Below are 20,428 nucleotides of genomic sequence, written 5' to 3'. Positions count from 1 at the left end.
TTTCAATCAAGAAAAAAGTGTTTCTCTTTGGAAAAGTCAACCGATTCTGAAAGAATATGATAGTTTTATGAAGCTTTGCCACATTGCTTCTTTTCAGAGAGGATACTTAGAGTGCAATGGCACAATATAGAAAATGGAGTTTATAAGTTCAGCATGGCTATAGAGTTGGGCAGACCTCAAAACTAGTACTAATAGGAAATATGCCAATGTATCAATCAGAATTATTATTTGCAAGAAACAGAAACCAACTTTGCTGAATTAAACAGAAAATAAATTTACTAAAAGCATCTGAGTGCTGACAGGAATATAAAATGACACAAAGCCTATGGAGAGGAATTTGGCAGTAGCTAGCAAAATTACATATGAAGCAGCACTTGTAGGAATCTATCTCTAAAATATAGATACAAAAATACACAATGACATGAACAAGGTTATTCATTACTACCTTATTTGTAATAACGAAAGATTGGAAACAACCCAAATATTCATCAGAAGGAACTGATTGAATAAACTGTGATATATTCACAAAATGGAATGCTTTGTAGCTGAAAATTAAATAATGATGAAAAGTTCTATCTCTTGATAAAGAGTGCTCTGCATAGGATATATTAAATGAAAAAAGTAAGATGTAGAAATCTTTACACATTTTCTGTATAGGAAAATGAGAAGAAAATGGATATACATATGTATTTGTCTTATATTTGTAAAAAGAAGCCAAAGAAGGATAAATGAAAAACTAATAAAAATGGTTACCTAAAGGGGAAGCAAGGGAAGAGGGGATGGATCAAGATAGGAGGCTTTTAAAAAAGTCCCCATTACATAATTTTGACTTTGGAACCATGTGAATATTGTATACAATGAAAAGACGATTAAGTGAAAAACCAGCCTCCAAATAGAAATGAACTTAGGTCTGTATGAGGTTGGTGGCATAACCACTCAGAGAAAAGAATTACTTCAAATGACTTTAAAGTACAGTATTTTGACCTGTTCATTCATAGTGGGATAAATTCTAAGGACAAAAGAACTACAAAGAGATCTTAAACTGCGTTCAGGAGTCTTATTGTTATTAGTAATACTGGTATTTTTTTTAATTAAAGGTATATATAGGAAAAAGCAAAGTAGTAACTATTAGATTTTAGTGTCAGTGAAAAGAGATGCAATAATAAAAATCAAGTAAGTTAAATACAAGCTGTGTATGACTACTTTTGAATAGGAAATACAGTTACGAACTCCTTTTTTCTTTTAAATAATACATATTATGTAATCTTCCACTGGAAAAGCCTAAAGTAATGACAACCCAGTGCTCAGACTGTGGTATCTACTGTCAATTCCCACTGTAGTTCTTTGGAGAAATTACTGATTTCAGATCTGGACAGGCATGGTATGAGTCTGGAATAGCTTATTGTGTTAGCAAAGAAACTACTGGAGAATACTCATGGCTACTGGTAAGGAGGAAGTTGGAAAGCCTGGATATCTGCAGCCAATAAGAGAGGCAAATAGGAATTGGCATATGGATAATCCATGGAACCTTTAATCAGACCTTTAATAATGGTATGGAGAGGCTGGGTGTGGTGGCTCACATCTGTAATCCTAGCACTTTGGGAGGCTGAGGCGGGTGGATCACCTGAGGTCAGGAATTCGAGACCAGCCTGACCAACATGGAGAAACCCCGTCTCTACCAAAAATACAAAATTAGCCGGGTGTGGTTGGCACATGCCTGGAATCCCAGCTATTCTGGAGGCTGAGGCAGGAGAATTGCTTGAACCTGGGAGGCGGAGGTTGTGGTGAGCTGAGATCGCACCATTACACTCCAGCCTGGGCAACAAGAGCAAAACTCCGTCTCAAAAATAAATAAATAAATAAATAAAGTTGTAATGGAGAATGTACTCGTTTGATTGTCATGTCTGAAGTTCTGTTATAAGATGCCAAGGCCTTAAAACATACTTTAATTTTAAAATAATATTTCTGAAACTAAAAGTAGATAAGGCATTATGCAGAAAACTGTAGACTCTGCAGTGCATTTCATATTAATCATGAATGTGTTAACCTCAGTTGTGTCAATTAGAAAGTCTAATTTCCCTTGCCTCTTAGATTCTCAGTCCCTCATCAGTTGCTATCGATCTGATAGTTCATAGGGAACTCATGGCAGTTATTGTTGATTGTAATCAGTAAAGCATTTTGAAGTTAGAAATTGTCATTTGTTTGAGGACATCAGGTTACAATTTTCAATTCAGATCTTCTGGTTACTTAGTACCCTTAAGACTGTGCACAAGGAATATGGAAAAATATTAGATTTTCTCTCTTTTTCCCTCCCAACCCCCATCTCCCTCTCCCTCTCCTTCTGTGTACTCTCTTATACTTCCAAAGTACACTGGGCAGGATAATCTATTAAATTTTAAATTATGGATACAGCAAAAGTTTGCACTTGATTGACTAAGACTACTTTTTTAAAATGTGACATTGCTTTTAATTGCATTTGCAACAATCATTTTTTTTTTCCGTTCCCAGGAATACAAACAAGTGATCCTAATGCTGTGGTCATGGGATTGGCACCAGAACATTTTCATTATCAAATTCTGAATCAAGCATTCCGGTAAACCTAGCTATTTATTTTTCATCTGATCATAATAGTTCCCTTCTTCCTTTCCTTTTGTCATTGTCATGAATGGGTTTATGTGTTTTACTTTCTGGCCACCTAAATTGTACATTAGGATAGACATCTTCAAGATCAGCATCAAATAATATGTATTACTATCTTGACTTTTTTGTGTGAGTAGTATGTTTTTTGTTTTTATTTTGTTTTTGAGATGGCATCTCACTCTGTCGCCCAGGCTGGAGTGCAGTGACATCATCATGGCTCACCACAGCCTCGATCTCCCCAGGCTCAGACTTAGGTGCTCCTCCTATCTCAGTTTTTGTATTTTTAGTAGAGACGGGGTTTCGCCACGTTACTCAGGGAGGTCTCCAACTCTTGGGCTCAAGCAATCTGCCCACCTCAGCCTCTCAAAAGTGCTGGAATTACAGGCGTGTGCCAGCACGCCCGAGCAGCAGTTTTATCTTTTATTATTACTCCTATGATTCTCTACTGACTATGCTAATCTCCAAAGGAAAACAGTATCCAGGCTGATCCACCAAAAACAATAAATGCGATTCTACCTCCAGTGAGAATCCAGGTTATGGAAAAGAGTTGACACATTTGACCACACTTTAAAATAAATTATTTGATGAGTGGTAATGATACGGTGAACTGGAATAGTGGCAGTGGAGATGAAGAAAAACAGATTCAGAGACCATCAGCATGTCTTACTTTTGAGTTTAGTCAGTGAAGTAGAAGAGTGAGTCAAGGATACATTGAGATTTCTAATCTGAGCAAGTAAGAGAGAACCCTTGGTTTGGGATTTAAGAGGTGATGAGTTTAGGTTTGGTCTATGGGATATTCAAGCAGAGAGACATCAGTGGCTGTGGGTAGAAGTAGAACTAGTATATAAGATATTATAAATCTTCAGTTAATGTGTGCATTTCACTTAAATGAACTATTTTGCTGCTACTTCTAAAAGGAAGGCTGCATACTTGTTCTTGTACTTCCCAAGATAAATTGGATCAGAATTTACCTGCAGATCTGCCGTAGAATGAGATTGTGACTTTTCTTTGGATTTTGTAATTTTTCATGTCTTGCCTTTTATTTCTTGTCAAACCATTAAACAGTATAATTTACCTTTGGATGTATGTCAAGTATATAGTTCAAAATATTGCATATTGGACTAGCTTAGAAAATTTTTCTTTAATAGCCTGGTAAAGTTTTTGTATTTAACTGCAAGAATGCTATAAAAAAAAAACAAACCAGAATTTTCTTACCAGTGCAAGGATCTGTAAGAACCATTCTAACTTATACATTATGTAGAATTCATTTCTTCATGTATATACTACAGAAATAGAATGTTTATAGGAAACTAAAACTCACTACCCAGGTTCACACATTTGGGCACATTGTTTGCTGTTCATCTTGAAAATGACTGCCCTCATGTAAAATCTATGTGGCCAGAAATAGCAGTTTGAGAACAGCCACCGTTTACCGTGTGTGCACATTAATTTTAGATTCTTGGTTAATGGAAACCACAACTACTTAATGCACTTTTATTTGTGACTCTAGTCACTGTGATAGTCAAGCTCTTGTTTAAAAGGAGCAAACTCACTTTTTATAGTTGCCCAGTATCTATTTACTGTAATTATTTCCTGGACATCCACTGTTAACGTCAGATCACTTGGAGATGTACTTCAGTGTATATGGTGTTAAAATTACTTTTGCTTCCCCTGCCTTTTCAATTATCCTACTTTGGCCTTTGGTTGAGGAGGGAGAGACTATGCCATCTGCTCCTTAAGTAAGTTCTACAACTATACCAATATCAGTTTTCATTTGAAACGGAATCTGCTATTATTTTTTCTGAATTTACTTCTACTACTTTTCACTCATTTATTTAACCACAGAATTCAAGGAGAAGATATTGATTAATTTTAGCTGGCAATTTGGGAAGGACATATTTAATAGGAAATTGGGAGGTCTCTGTCTTAATGAATACTAGACTCAGGGAAATAAAAATGTATGTTGACATAATACTGACTTTGTAATTGCTCGGATGCTGTCTAATTAGTACACTTTCCTAACCATATTGATTTTTTATAAACTTAAAACATTACAGTGCACTTATAGGTCAACTCTAATTTCACAAATGCACTTAACAGCTGGATGGAGAGTTAACAGAAGGATTTTAGGTCTTCCCTTTTTGCATATTGATGTTTCCACAGGGACTGCCTTCCAACCAATGACTGCAGCTGTATGGATTGTATGTGGCAAATACAGACATCTTAAATGAACCACCGATTAGTTAAATTACTGTTTAGGCTGATAATGACAATAAACATTGGATTTTAAAGCCCATTGCATGCTGGCTTCAGAGGCATGTTACATCAAGGCAGATACATCAAACTTCACATTATGCTGCATCTTATTTACTGTGTTTTTAGTGGATAGCACCCCACAAAAACGCATAGTACAGCCTTTCTACAAATATCTTTTAAATGCCTGAACGGAATTGAGAATTGTGGTTGGTTTTTTTTTTTTTTTTTTTGAGACCAAGTCTCGCTCTGTCATCCAGGCTGGAGTGCAGTGGTGTGATCTCGGCTCATCTCGAAAAACAAAAAAACCCAAAGTTTGAGCATTTAAGTAATGGACCAATTATAATTGAACTCAATGATTACTATTAGGAGGAAGACAAACAAGTCACTTATAATCCAACCTGAACTTAGTATTAACAAGACTAAAAATATCTAATCACAAAATTAATATATCCTCATCGTGGAAAAGTTTAAATGCTCAAGAAAGAATAAACTAAAAATTACCTGTAACGCTGCCACCTAAAGAGAACGACAGTTAACATTTTAGCACATAGCCAGTTTCTTTGTTTCTATACACATACATGTTTACACAAAATTTATAATGTGTATATACTATATAGTAACATGCTTTTTAAAAACCTAATGTATTGTGCATGCTTTGTCATGTTCCTAAATATTATTCTAAAACCTATTTAATTCCTACAATATACTCTATTTTAAGAAGCACAATGAATTGCTTTGCCACAAGTTCCTATTGCTGTTGGTATTGCAGGTTTTTTTTTTGAGACGGAGTCTTGCTCTGTCACCCAGGTTGGAGTGCAGTGGTGCGATCTTGGCTCACTGCAAGCTCCGCCTTCCGGGTTCATGCCATTCTCCTGCCTCAGCCTCCCAGGTAGCTGGGACTACAGGTGCCCACCACCACGCCCAGCTAATTTTTTGTATTTTTAGTAGAGACGGGGTTTCACCATGTTAGTCAGGATGGTCTCGATCTGACGTCGTGATCCACCCGCCTCAGCCTCCCAAAGTGCTGGGATTACAGGCGTGAGCCACTGCTCCTGGCTGGTATTCCAGGTTTTTGAAATTCATTTTAAAAAACTCCTGAGAACATGTTTGTTGAGCAGTATTTATGCTTTCTTTATGATTTTTTTTTTCAGAAGTATAGTTGCCAGGCAAAGGAATTTTGGGGAAAAAAACTACATGGAATTACTTAGCCTAGGAAACGTTTGAGGCCTTTTTTCCCTATATTAAGAAACTGCTCTCCATCTCCTAGAGTAGCTTATTAAAATATCGTTATACCTGAAGAGAAATGGCATCACAACTTTCATGTTTAAATTTATAGATGAAGCCTTTTTAAGAATAATGTATTTGAAGTTTTGTTAATAACATTCTTCCCATAATTGCTGTAGAGTTTGAGAGTCCTCCAAAAGTCTTAGAGATGTGCAGAATTTTTTTTTTTAATTTTTCAGGATGAGCTTCTTACCACTATAAGAAGTCTTTGTTGACTGTTGGATTGCTTGCTTTCCCCCATCTCCTTCTTAAGGAAAAATTACAAGTTTAATTACTCTGGTATATTAAATCCTTAGTAAAGGGAAGAAAAGAAAGAAAGAACAAGACAAACAGACAGTAATGGCCTCAGTACTGCATTTGTACGCTAACTCCTGAATATTTCCTAAGTACTTAGAGCCCTGAGCATGAGGAATCCCAGAACAGTGTAGCAGCAGGGCTCAAATTAGAAATATATCTATGGGCTTTTCCCATTTTTGAAAGGGTTGACTGCTATGCAGTGTTCTTAATTAAAGTCCAGACTCTAAAATACTACTTTGGAGGTGAGAAATTGTTTAAGACTTCAGAACTTGAGATGTTTAAAGCATTTCATTAGTGTATGTAGGAGAAGTTTATATGCAGATCTGAAAATCATAGGATACAGAATTGAGTATCAGAATCACTGCTCTTATTTTGTAGTTTGAGGATATATTTAGCAGGCAGCTCCTGCTACTCTAAATATGATTTGTTTACGTGAACAAACCATAAAAATATATTCTGTTACTGATTTTTCTAAACTGAGGTAAACATGCACTGTAAGTTATACAGATTTTAAGTATACAACTCAATACAATTTTACACATAGATATACCTATGTAACCCCCATTTGGTGATCAAGATATAGAACATTTTCAGCATCCTTGGTGGCTCCCTTTCCCAGTCACTACCACTCCTTCCCCAGGATAACCACTGCTCTGACTTCTATAATTATTGCCATTTCTTAATCTTCATATGAATGAAATCATAGAATTATAGCATTTTTTGGTCTGCTTTTGAGATTTATCCAAGTTTTTGCGTGTACCAGTACTTTGGTTTTTATTTTGCTTCTTTGTTTTTGTTGTTGTTTTGTATAGTAGTAGTGTATTATATGAATATTCCACAATTTATTTATTCATTCTGCTGTTAATGGACATGGGTTGCTTCCAGTTTGGGCTGTTATGAATAAAACTGCTGTGAACATTCTTGTATATGTCTTTTGGGGGACATGTGCATTCAGTTCTCTTGGGTACATATCTAGAAGTGAAATTGCTAGATAGTACGATAGGTAATTGTTTAGTTTTAGTAAATATCGCCAAACAGTTTTCCAAAGTGATTGTACCAAGACATACATTCTTGCTAGCTACAAATGAGAGTTCCAATGCTCTATATTCTCTATTTAATAGTAGCTATTCTGTTTGGTGTATATAGTGGTATCTTTACTGAGTTCCTATTTGGTTTTTTTTTGTTGTTATTTTTTTCAAAGACAGGGTCTTGCTCTGTCACCCAGGCTAGAGTGCAGTGGCACTATCATAGCTCACTGTAGCCTCAAACTCCTGGACTCAAGAGGTCCTCCTGCCTTAGCCTCCCAAGTAGCTAGGACTACAGATGTGTGCCACTACACCTGGCTAATTTTTAATTCGTTTTTGTAGTGGGGTTTTGCTGTGTTGCTGGCTGTTCTCAAACTCCTGATGTCAAGTGATCATTGTGCCCTAGTCTCTCAAAGTGCTGGGATTACAGGTGTGAGCCATTGCATCCAGCCTCAGTTTCAATTTGTATTTCTCTGATGAGTAATGCTGTTGAAACTTTTTCATATACTTATTAGCCATTTGGATATCTTTTGTTGTGATGCACCCATTCAAATCTTTTACGTTTTCTGATTGGGATGTCTTTTTCTTACTGATTTGTCAAAGTTGTTTTTTTTTTTTTTTTTTTTTTGAGTCAGAGTTTCACTCTTGTTGCCCAGGTTGGAGTGCAATGGTGTAATCTCGGCTCACTGCAACCTCTGCCTCCCGGGTTCAAGCAATTCTCCTGTCTCAGCCTCCCGAGTAGCTGGGATTACAGCCATGCACCACCACGCCTGGCTAATTTTGTATTTTTAGTAGAAACAGGGTTTCTCCGTGTTGGTCAGGCTGGTCTCGAACTCCCGACCTCAGGTGAGCCACCCGCCTCGGCCTCCCAAAGTGCTGGGATTACAGGCGTGAGCCACTGCGCCCGGCCTTAGAGTTCTTAATGTGTTATGTCTTACAAGACTTTGGTTGAATATATGTACCACAGATATCCCTATCTTTGATTTGCCTTTTCACTCTCTTAATAGTATGAGAAGATCAGGTTCTTAATTTTGATGTAGTTCAATTTGTCAGTATTTTCTTCTGTTTTGTTTAAGAAATCTTTGCTTACCCCAAGGTGATGAAGATATTTTCCTGTGTTTTCTTCTGTAAGCTTTATTGTTTTACTTTTAGCAATTAGGTGTAGAATCTATTTTGAATTAATTTTTGTGAATTGTGTGAAATAGAAGTTCATTTTTATCTGTGTATACTCAGTTGTTCCAGCAACACGTATTGCAAAGACCCATTCTTCCCCCATTGATTTGCAATTGTGCTTTTGACGTAAATCAAGTGACTAGATTCTTTATCTATACTTTTGCCATTCATACTGTCTTGATTATTGTAGCTTCATAATAAGCCTAAATATCTGGTAGTGTACATCCTCCAACTTTATTATTTAAGATTGTCTTGGCTATTCTACCTCCTTTGGATTTCCACACAGATTTTGAAATCAACTTTGAAGTCACAAACAAAGCCTGCTGGGAGTTTGATCCTTCCTTAAATCTATGGATTTGGACAGTATGTACATCTGTACAATAATATATCTTCCAGTCTATGAAAATAAAATGTATCTCTATTTAGTTTTTTTTTGTTTCGTTTTTGTTTTTTTACATTTGCTGTCATCAGTGTTTTATAGTTTTTAGAATGTGGGTCTTAGACATTTTGTTAAATTCTTGTCTTTCATGTTGTTTGATGGTATTGTAAATTGTATTTTTGTTTTTGTTTTTCTGAGACAGAATTTCACCCTTGTTGCCCAGGCTGGAGTGCAATGGCATGCTCTCAGCTCACTGTAACCTCTGCCTCCCAGGTTCAAGCGATTCTTCTGCCTCAGCCTCCCAGTAGCTGGGAGTACAAGCATGCGCCACCATGCCTGGCTAATTCTTGTATTTTTAGTAGAGATGGGGTTTTGCCATGTTGGTCAGGCTGGTCTCAAACTCTTGACCTCAGGTAATCCACCCACCTCGGCCTCCCAAAGTGCTGGGATTACAGGTGTGAGCCACTGTGCCCGGCCTTGTATTTTGCTAAATTTCATATTTATTTGCTTATTGCTAATACATAGAAAGCTAATTGGGTTTTTGTATGTTAATCTTCTGTCCAGCAGTCTTCTTCCATTTACTTGCTAATTCTAATAAATTTTTGTATTAATAGAATCTTTTGGATTGCATTTTCTATATAGACAATTGTAGACAATAATGACAATTTTAATTGTCTCCTTCTAGAGTTAAATTTCTTTTTATTTTTCTTGCTATGTTACACTGTCTGGGACTCCTAGTGCACTCCTAATAAACATGGTGATAGTAGATAGCCTTATCTTACTTCTAAATTCAGGGGTAGAACTTTCAGTATTTTACCACTTTGAGTATTTCTTACTAGGTCAGTAAGCTATGTTTGTTTTTAATCCCAAAGACTTCAAAACTTTTTTTTTTTAAATTCTGATTATAACTAGAAATAGCAGTGTTGAAGTTGTCTTAGATCTTCTATTTTAATTTTTCATTTCATCTTTCACTTTGGATGTGTAGTATTCGTAGATTTTTATTTTATGTGGAACATTGAGTCTTTACAAACTCACTACATTTTTTTCAGTAATTAATAAGAGAATTACTGTGCCAGTGTGACATTGGAGGTATTTTGGGGTTTCAATTAATTAAATGTTAGTGGGATTTTCCTTTCGTGTTTTTCATGATTCACTAGTTTTAGTTTGAACTTTTGATAGTTTATGTCTGTTGAGTTGATTGGTATTACTTTTAAGTGTGTTGAATGTTAACACTTTGGCATTACTTTAGTTTAGCGGTTCTCAATCAGGGACAGTTTTGCCCCCTAAGGAATATTTTGGTAAGGTTTGGAGACATTTTTGGTTGTCATAACTGAGGGAGAGGGGTGGTGGTACTGGCACATGATGGGTAGAGGCCAGGGATGCTGTTAAACATCCTATATACATAGGTCAGCCCCCACAGCAGGCATTTTCTGGCCTAAAATAGTGCTGAAAAGCCCTGAACTAGTTTACTGCTTCATTTGAAACTGAAGCTCACAAATGTGAAGTGACTCGCCATTATTTATTTTTAGTATAGTTACTATACTTCCTACATTTATGAATAAAAATAGTTGTCATAGGTCAGGACACTGAGGCATGCAGAGGTTCATCCATGATTTAATTTATTGAATAAACATTTAGCAAAAGGTACCAGGCCTTATTTTTTTTAAGTAGGGAATTCAGTGATGAGTACAACTGATGGGCATTATGGAGACTGTTCTAGTGAGGAAGACAGACCAAACACAATAGGATAAGGATTACCAATCATGCCAAGTGATATGAAGGAAAAAAGGGGTTGAAATAGTTACCAAATGTGAGGAGGAAGTCCACTTTATTTAAAGAGAGATTAAAAATGACTTCTTTGATTTGCTGACATTTAAGCTGAAACCTGACAAATGAGTGGAAGAAATCTATGTGAAAAGTATGGGGAACCATTTCAGGAGGAGGGGGCACCATATGGGGGCTGAAGCAGGAAAGAGCTTGACATTTTTTGAGGAAATGAGAACAAAGTATTGTGGCAGGAGCTCAGTCAATAATGGGAAAGGTAACTTGAGAGTGGAGATGCGGGGTTGGGGATAGATAGGGCAAGGCTTTCGAGACTGTGCTAAGGACTTTGGATTTTATGCTGGTTGCCATGAGAAGCTATTAAAGAATTTTGAGCAGGGGAGGGACATGATCACATCTATTTGCACTTTTCAAAACTCCTGCTATTGCTTATACAATGGATTGGAGTAATAGGTCAAGAGAAAAATGCAGGAAGACCAGTTGTAAGGCTGTTACAGTTCAGGTGAAAGAGTAAGACAATTTTGAGATATTTTAATTTTTGTTCAAAATTGGAAATTACTGGATTTCCTAGTGAATAGGGATGTGGAGGTGGTGGGAGAAATTGAGAAATCAAGTATGACTGATAGGGTTCTGGCTTGAGTAACTGGAGAAATTACAGAGATGGGAAAGATTGGGAAAGAAACACTTTTGGGGAGTGGGGTGAGAGGGACTTACCAGTTTGACGTTGGACATATGGTAGGTGTTTGACCAGTACTTAATCTGCAGTATAATTTCATTTCCACATGCTTCATCTTCAGGGGAAATGGTTATTTAGAAAGACAGCGTCGTGTTCAGGCATACCTCTTTTTATTGCACTTTGCATTATCGCGCTTCACTTGCATTTTTTTTTTTTTTAACAAACTGATTTTGTGGTAACCCTACATTGAGCAAGTCATCGGCACCATATTTCCAACAGTATGTGCTCACTTTGTGTCTCTGTGTCACATTTTGGTAATTCTTGGCAATATTTCAAACTTTTCATTATTATTATGTGTTGTGGTGATCAGTGATCTTTGGTGTTACTGTTGTAATTGTTTTGGGCAGCCACAAACCATGCCCATGTTAAGATGGCAAATTTAATGTTGTGTGTGTTCTGACCGCTTCACCAGCCAGCTGTTCTAACTCTCTCCTCTCCTCTGGCCTCCCTATTCCCTGAGACACAATGATGCTCAGATTAGGCCAATTGATAACCCTACAGTGGCCCCTGAGTGTTTAAGTGAAAGGAAGAATCATACATCTCTTACTTAAAATCAAAAGCTAGAAATGAGTAAGGCAAGTAAGGCATGTCGAAAGCCGAGATAGGCTGAAAGCTAGGTCTCTCGTGCCAAATAGCCAAGTTTTGAATGCAAAGGAAAGTTCTTGAAGGAAATTAAAAGTGCTACTCCAGTGAGCACACAAATGATAAGAAAGCAAAACAGCCTTATCACTAATACGGAGAAACTTTTGTGGTCTGGATAGAAGCTCAAACCAGCCACAAAATTCCCTTAAGACAAAGCCCTAACTCTTCAGTTCTTTGAAGACTAAGAGAGATGAGGAAGCTACAGAAGAAAAGTTTGAAGCTAGCAGAGGATGGTTCATGAAGTTTAAGGAAAGAAGCTGTCTCCATAAACTTGCATTAAAGTGCAAGATGAAGCAGCAAGTGCTGATGTAGAAGCTACAGCATGTTATCCAGAGATCTAGCTAAGATCATTGATGAAGGCGTCTACACTAAACAACAGATTTTCAGTGTAGATGAAACAGTCTTACATTGGAAAAAGATGCCACCTAGGACTTTCATTGCTAGAGAGGAAAAGTCAGTGCCTGGCTTCAAAGCTTCAAAGGACGGGCAGTCTATCTTGTTAGGGGCTAATGCAGCTGGTGACTTTAAGTTCAAACCTGTGCTCTATAAATGGAATAACAAAGCCTGAATGGCAGCACATCTGTTTACAGCATGGTTTATTGAATGTTCCAAGACACTATTGAGACTTACAGGTCAGAAAAATAGATTCCCATCAGAATATTACTGCTCATGGACAAAGCAACTGGTCACCCAAGAGCTCCGCTGGAGATGTACCAGGAGATCAATGTTGTTCTCATGCCTGTTAACACAACACCCATTCTGCCACCCATGGATCAGGGAGTCGTTTTGACTTTCAAGTCTTACTATTTAAAAAATATATTTTGTAAGGCCATAGCTGCCATAGACAATGATTTCCTCTGGTGGATCTAGGCAAAGAAAATTGAAAACCTTCTGGAAAGGATTCAACATTCTAGATGCCATTAAGAACATTTGTGGTTCATGAAAGGTCAAAATGTCAACATCAACAGGAGTTTGGAAGAAGTTGATTTTAACCCTCATGGATGACTTTGAGGGGTTCAAGACTTCAGTGAAGGAAGTAACTGCAGATGTGGTGGAAATAGCAAAACAACTAGAATTAGAAGTAGTGCCTGAAGATGTTACTGAATCGCTGCGATCTCATGATAAAACTTGAATGGATGAGAAGTTGCTTCTTTTGGATGAACAAAGAAAGTGGTTTCTTGAGATGGAATCTACTCCTGGTGAAGATGCTTCGAACGTTGTTGAAATAACAACAGAAGATTTATAATATTACATAAACTTAACTGATAAAGCAGCAGAAGGGCTTGAGAGGATTGATTCACAATTTTGAAAGAGTTTCTGTTGTGAATACTGTGAAACAACATCACATACTACAGAGAATTCTTTCATGAAAGGAAGATTAAACTGATGCAGCAAGCTTCATTGTTGTCTTATTTTGAGGCATTGCCACAGTGACTCAACCTTCAGTGACTACCACCCTGATCCGTCAGCAGCCATCAACATCGAGGCAAGGCCTTCTGCCCACAAAAAGATTATGACTCCCTGAAGGCTCAGATGATTGTTAGCATTTTTCAGCAATAAAGTATTTTTAAATTAACACACATACTTTTTTTTAGACACAATGCTGTTGCACACTTAATAGACTATGGAAAACCAAAATTTATGTGACTCGCTTTATTGCGATACTTGCTGTATTGCAATGGTCTGCAGCTGAATCCAAAATATCTCATAGATATCCCTGTATTTGGAAGAATCCCAGATTGGTTTTCAGGTTCCAGCTTCCAGCACTGGTTCTAGCTCTCCTTGATTGGTGCCAGCATCTCAGATGATCTCATCTGTAAAATGGGGCATGTTGGACTTGATGTTCCTTTGGGTCTCTTTCAGTAATATTCTGTGGCTCTAAATTTATTTTAAATTCCGGGGTACAAGTACAGGATGTGCAGAGTTGTTACATAGGTAAACGTGTGCCATGAAGATTTGCTGCATCTATCAACCCATCACCTAGGTATTAAGCCCGGTAGGCATTAGCTATTTTTCCTGATGGTCTCCCTCCCCTGCAGTCCCAACAGGCCGGAGTCTGTGTTGTTCTCCTCCCTGTGTCCATGTCTTCTCATTGCTCGGCTCCCACTTATAAGTGAGAACATGTAGTGTTTGGTTTGCTGAGGGTAATGGCTTCTAGCTCCATCCGTGTCCCTGCAAAGGGCATGACCTAATTCCTTTTTATTGCCGCATAGTATTCCATGGTGTATGTGTACCACATTTTCTTTCTCCAGTCTATCACTGACGGGCATTTGGGTTGATTTCATGTCTTTTCTTTTGTGACTAATGCTGCAGTGAACATATGCATGCATGTATCTTTATAATAGAATGATCTATATTCCTTTGGGTAATCTAATGGGATTACTGGGTCAGATGGTATTTCTGGTTCTAGGGCTTTGAGGAATTGTGTGGCTCTAAATTTAAATCACTCCTTCAGCTTTCTCTCGCTGCTCTGCCTGAGATTTTTATATGGTAGCCCTGCTCCCTGGGCTAGGATTTTTTACACTTTGTTTATTCACCTACATGGAATTTATAGCCAGAAATTTTTGAATTAGGCCTTCTTTGTGCCTTTAAAATATAATTATATATATGTAATTATTATAATTGTAAGAAATAATTATGTGACTTGCTTTATTGCAGAAGCAAAAACCCAGAACCCAAAAACCAATCTAGTATTCTTCCAAATACAGGCATGTCTATGAGATATTTTGGAGTTGGTTGCAGACCACTGCAATAAAATAAGTATCACAATAAAGCAAGTTGCATAATTATTTCTTATAATAATTACATATATATTATTTTTAGAGATGGAGTCTCTCTGGCTGGTCTGGAATCCTGGCCTCAAGTGGGCCTCCCATCTTGGTCTCCCAAAGTGCTGGGATTACAGGCATGAGCCACTGTGCCTGGCCTCCAATAGGCTTATAGTTAGACAAAATTTTCAGATTTTCTGCTGACATATTATCTCTGTATTAAAAACAACTATCTTTTTACATTTTGTGCTGCTATAACAATACCTGAGACTAGGTAATTTATAAAGAACAGAGTTATTTCTTATAGTTGTGGAGGCTAGGAAGTTCAAGGTTGAAGGGCCTGCACTGGGTGAAGGCCTTTTGCTGCATCATCCTGTGGTAGAAGGCAGAAGGTCAAGAGAGCACGCACACAAGAGAGGGAAGGGGGCCAAACTCATCCTTTTGATCAGGAACCCACTTCTGCAATAACTAACCTATTTCTTCATTAACGGTGGAGCTCTCATGACCTAGTCACCGCTTAAAGGCCCCCGTCTCAACACTGTTGCATTGGGAATTAATTTCCCAACAGATAAATTTTGGGGGGACAAGCCATAGTCACAGCCAACCTTTTGTTGCCCTGTCTAGTAAGTATAAAAATACTCCAAGTATTGGGGTGGCTCTGATATTTTTAAAAATGTTTAACTATAAAAGATCTTTTAATCTGTGTCCTAGAAAACAGTTACTTTTCAGTCCATCCTCAATATGCCTTGGCTCTTCAAAGATTCAGTAAAGCTTATGCTATGCAGAGAAGAACAGTAGAAGGAAGAACTGCTTCCCTGAGAGATGTATAACACTTCTCCAGCCTAGTGTAGAACCAGTTCCCATTTAGAGAAGTGTAGAGGAACCCACAGTTTCACCTCTTCCAGGGAAGGCACTAAAGTACTGCCTGGGAATTAAGTACACACATCAATCAAGCTGATAAGTCTTATCCCCAGTTAATATATGATAAAATATTAACAAAGCTAAATCAAATGAGTTTTCAGTTTAGGCTATATAAGTGGAAAGCAATTTTGAGGTCTGTTGCATAAAGAATTCTAGTTCCGTGGTAGAGTAGCAAATAAGTGGGCTTGGGGGTGGGGTGACAGGAGAAGAGATAGATAAGTCACCCGTTAGTAACTCATTGCTGTCAGCTCTAGGTCTTTAAAGCCAACAGAATGGCTTTGCCAGGTTTCCTAATAGTTGTATTTCAAGAGCAGCTTTAAGAAATAAATTTGTATTAATATTAGTGAATAAATTTGAAGGATCTGTCCAATGCTGTGAGCAATTTGTAGTAACTAACAGTAAGGCCCTGTAATAGTATTGGTTTTTACTTAATAAAATATTTAATCATAAATGTCTGAATTCTGCATCTCCCACAGGAAGGCATTTCCATGCCCACTGACAAAAATAATTTAGCAGTTTCATAGTTGAGCGCTTAATTACTCATAATTGTGAAGGGTAAGATATGATGAATTCTTCCTTGATGGACATACTAAATATTTTAACGAAGTAGATGACTTAAAGTAAATTAAGCTAGTGAGATCATTTATTACATTGGTTAAAAGCAGTTTAAGAAATATATCATGTCCCGCATGCTATTAGATGATAATATGTGCGTGAGTACTTCTGCCATGTGACTAAAGGCTGTATTATTGTGATGGATGGCAGTTGTTTTAGGTTGGGTGTTGGAAAATGAGTATTAAATTTCTGGGGACTTTTTGACTTGTTGTTTTGCCTGAGTTACTAATGAGGATTCTTAGCTATAGGTAGAATTTGCTTGTCAAAATAATGGGAAAACTCTTTATGTCCTTTTGTCTGATGTGAGAGTATTCTTCGTCCTGTATCAGGACAAAGGAAGGGACCTGATGGGGAAGGGTCTCCTGTAAATCTTTTTCTTCAGGAAAGATGGCCTGATTTGCAAAATAATGTTGAAAGCAGTCAAAAGGTAAAAGAAGTAAAAGTGCAAGCAGAAACTCTTTGTAAAACACTTTATTAAAAATTTCTGAATTAAAAAGAAACTTACATTTTGGAGTAGAGGAAACAGGAGTTCAGATATTTTAGGAGTTAATATCACTGCAGCAACAATTGTGTAGTATTGTAAAAGGCTCAGGAGCCTCCTGCTTACCATTGGGGAAGGTTGAAACAACTTGTCTCATTAAGTTAAGCTTCTTCCCTGGAGTGTCTTATTTAGCTTTAGTTCTCTTAATTCTCTTTCCCTGGTGATTTGGGTAGTGTCTGAAACCACTAAAGGTAAAAGGTTGAAGCAATCCCAAATTTAATAATCTATCACCTTTCTTTAGTGTATCTGAGTGTAATTCCCAGCAGTTCTTTGTGAATTCATTAGAAGACAGCAAGTCATTAAAAGTTAATAAGAAACTATTTGTTTCTGTGGGTGTGAATACAGCCACTTTGTAAGTCTGACATTCGTTCCCAGTCATAAAAGCCTTGCTTTTAGCCAATTTGTTTTTTTTGTTGTTGTTCTCTCTAGGTTACTCCTGGATGGAGCACCTCTGATAGCAATCCACAAAGCCAGGTATTACAAGAGGAAAGATGGCTTAGCCCTGGGGCCTGGACCATTTGTGACTGCTTTAGAGTATGCCACAGATACCAAAGCCACAGTCGTGGGGAAACCAGAGAAGACGTTCTTTTTGGAAGCATTGCGGGGCACTGGCTGTGAACCTGAGGAGGCTGTCATGATAGGAGATGTAAGTAGAAGAACCCAGGAGGTGCTCCCAGCTCACCTGTTGTGCTGGGAAAGCCAGCTTAGAAACACTGCTTTAGGAAAGGGGACATTCTGTTACTGACAATGTGGACAGTATATATATAAATGGCTACCTATAAAATGAGGTTTCCTGTCGATGTTTAGTGGTATTCTTCTAAAGAACTGAAATTTTTATTATTTCTGACATTTCTCCATAGCGTAATAGGAGATTTGTGTGTTATGATACATATATATATGTAGTTAACTCCTATAATATATATATATTTGTATATTATATATATAGTTCAAAAGCCATTTATATTGCAAGTCAATTGAATGCTTTAAATGTCTTTTTGAGAAACAATGCTGCACAAATGAGAACCTACACCAAAGAATTCTACCACTATTGTTTTTTTCCTTAGCATATGCTGTATGGAAGAACTTCTCTATCTGTGTGCCACAAATAGCTAAAGCTATTGATCACCTTAGCCCTTTGAGTGGCAGGGCTGAGCCTGGGATGATTGGAGGCCCTGGCTGGTCACCTGTGGCCGTGAGCACCTTGTCAGTTTACCCCAGTGTACTAGGCAAATGTTATTTCCCATGTGTGTCTTGATGGGAAAACAGCTGGAAAGCACACTGCCACATGGTAAATTGGTGGCCAGGATTATATTTCAATTTTTAAATAATAACATGTCAAGCTGGGAGGGATCGTCACAAATGTCTGGTCCAAAACTCCTCATTTTATAGACTGGGAAACTGAAGCCCAAAGAGGTGAATCACCAAGCCTGAATTCCCATAGCTAATTAGTAGCACAGCTGGAAGTAGAGCTTGAGCTCAGGACTCCCTCCCTAGCTGTTTTAACTTGTGATGGTGGAAATGTGTATCACAGTCCTCCTGATTTTATCTTCTGTTTCTATAATCATTCACCTAAAATTGAATAGGATAATCACTGAGCTCAGTAGTATTTTGAGAAACCATCTTTTGAGTCACACCTGTTCCTCTTGACAAGCCTTTAGCTGCCTTTCCTAGACAAATATGTCTAAAAAAGTGGTTATCTGAGCTGGAGCCTTCAGAATTCTTTATCCCAGGAGTTGCTGGCCCTGGGACAGGATGAGAGGTGGGAAGGGATGCAACAGCTGTGCTGCATGGGGGGCTGTTGGTTACCCAGGAAAGTGGTGGTTCCCTGCCCCCCACCGTCTCATTGTCCACATTCTTTTTCCCACCTCCCTATCTCCTCTCCCCCATCTCCACTCTTCAACAGGGCAAGTTTAGCTGTAACAGAAATGGTTTGAAGTTGGACCTTGAATCAGGATTTTGACATTCTGAAACTCATTTTCAAGGGCTGTTGTTGAACAATATTAATGGTTTTTAAGGAAAAAAAAAAACTTTCTTCAGGCATGGTCTGAATCAATCCTGCTTATAGACATGAGGTGGCAAGATTAATTTTTTTGATTTTTCTTTCAGTCCTTGGAATTTTAATTACCTTGCATTCATCATCATTGATGATGTATATTTATCCTTATCTTGAATAATAATTAGAAAGAGGAGCTTCTTTTTCAGACTGATCTGTTATTCCCAAGTGTGAAGTGAACATCAGACAGTCAGAGTCTGTTTAAGTATCTGGATTTAACTTGATTCTACCTGTTAGGACAATGGGATAGAAAGTAAGGATAACATACTATGTGGGCCACAGAAAAGCTATCTTCTGAATCTAGCTCATTCCCTGTCTGCAGCTGTATTATTTACTGCCAAATGGATAGAATGCATTTTTCCATGATCTGTTTAATGGGGAGATAAATAGATGTAGGTGTGGCAAAGCATAGAGAATTGTAATTGTAACTCAGCTCTCTGTGTTTGGTTACCAGGATTACTACTCTATTCTATACCTTCCACCTCTGAGATACTTCCCTTTCCCAATTTGGAATGCTTCCTCAGAGTATTACATGTGGATTCACCTTTTACATCTTCTCTTTTCTATTTCAATAAAAAACATGGCATTACAGTTGGACACCCTAGCCTAATAAATCAGTTGGTAATGTTTGTTGGCTAGCTTACTGAAGACACTGGACTAAATGCTTTCTTTATGCTTTTCTAGGATTGCAGGGATGATGTTGGTGGGGCTCAAGATGTCGGCATGCTGGGCATCTTAGTAAAGACTGGTATGTATCTTCTGTATAAAGCATTTTCTAAAACAGAATAGTAGAATACACAGTTGCTTAAAGAACAATCTTTGCAGAAATGGCAGAGCCCTGGGCACTTTTATTCTCTTCCTGCCACAAAGCAAAAATAAAACAGCTTAGGATTATAGGAAACAATTGGGAAGGGCCCGTGCTGTACAAAGCTAGGAAGATCAGGGCTCAGAGGTACTTTAGTACTTTCCCAGAGGTAACCATTCCTGGTTGACAGCATTTATATTATTTCCTGGATGTACAGTTCACCACAGAGGGATGAAGCAAAGGACCATGGATGGTGGTGCTCTGTGAAAATACCTTTTATTTTTGTGCTGGCTATACCTGTGATACTGATTTCTTTAGGAAACTGGCCAGCTAAGTGATCTGATTCTTTGTGTTAATGTTTGAACTTTTACAAAAATATTTGAAAAACTCTTTTTTCTCTTTACTTACCGTTTGTGGTGAGCAAAAGGTTAAGAAGTATTTCCTGCACAATTAGGTTTACTCTATGTGGTATCTCAAATAAATTTAGGAAAAAGGAAAGACTTTAGTGGGG

At 37.6% G+C, this 20,428-nt stretch overlaps 1 protein-coding gene across 7 annotated transcripts in view; it reads left to right on the top strand.

Annotated features, from left to right (window-relative positions):
• The window catches only part of HDHD2 (haloacid dehalogenase like hydrolase domain containing 2), a 43,091-nt gene that overhangs the window by 17,664 nt on the left and 4,999 nt on the right, over positions 1-20,428 (top strand). For all 7 annotated transcript variants that reach the window (NM_032124.5, XM_005258371.5, NM_001318765.2 and 4 more), the window contains 3 exons: positions 2,509-2,593; positions 17,489-17,705; positions 19,797-19,860. In NM_032124.5, the coding sequence (NP_115500.1) occupies positions 2,509-2,593; positions 17,489-17,705; positions 19,797-19,860 (366 nt within the window). The remainder of the gene's footprint in view (positions 1-2,508; positions 2,594-17,488; positions 17,706-19,796; positions 19,861-20,428) is intronic.

The sequence above is a fragment of the Homo sapiens genome, chromosome 18, assembly GCF_000001405.40.
Source record: "Homo sapiens chromosome 18, GRCh38.p14 Primary Assembly".
Classification (NCBI taxonomy): Eukaryota; Metazoa; Chordata; class Mammalia; order Primates; family Hominidae; genus Homo; species Homo sapiens.
Note: the sequence above shows the minus strand (reverse complement) of the source record. Positions and strands in the feature narration are given on the sequence as shown.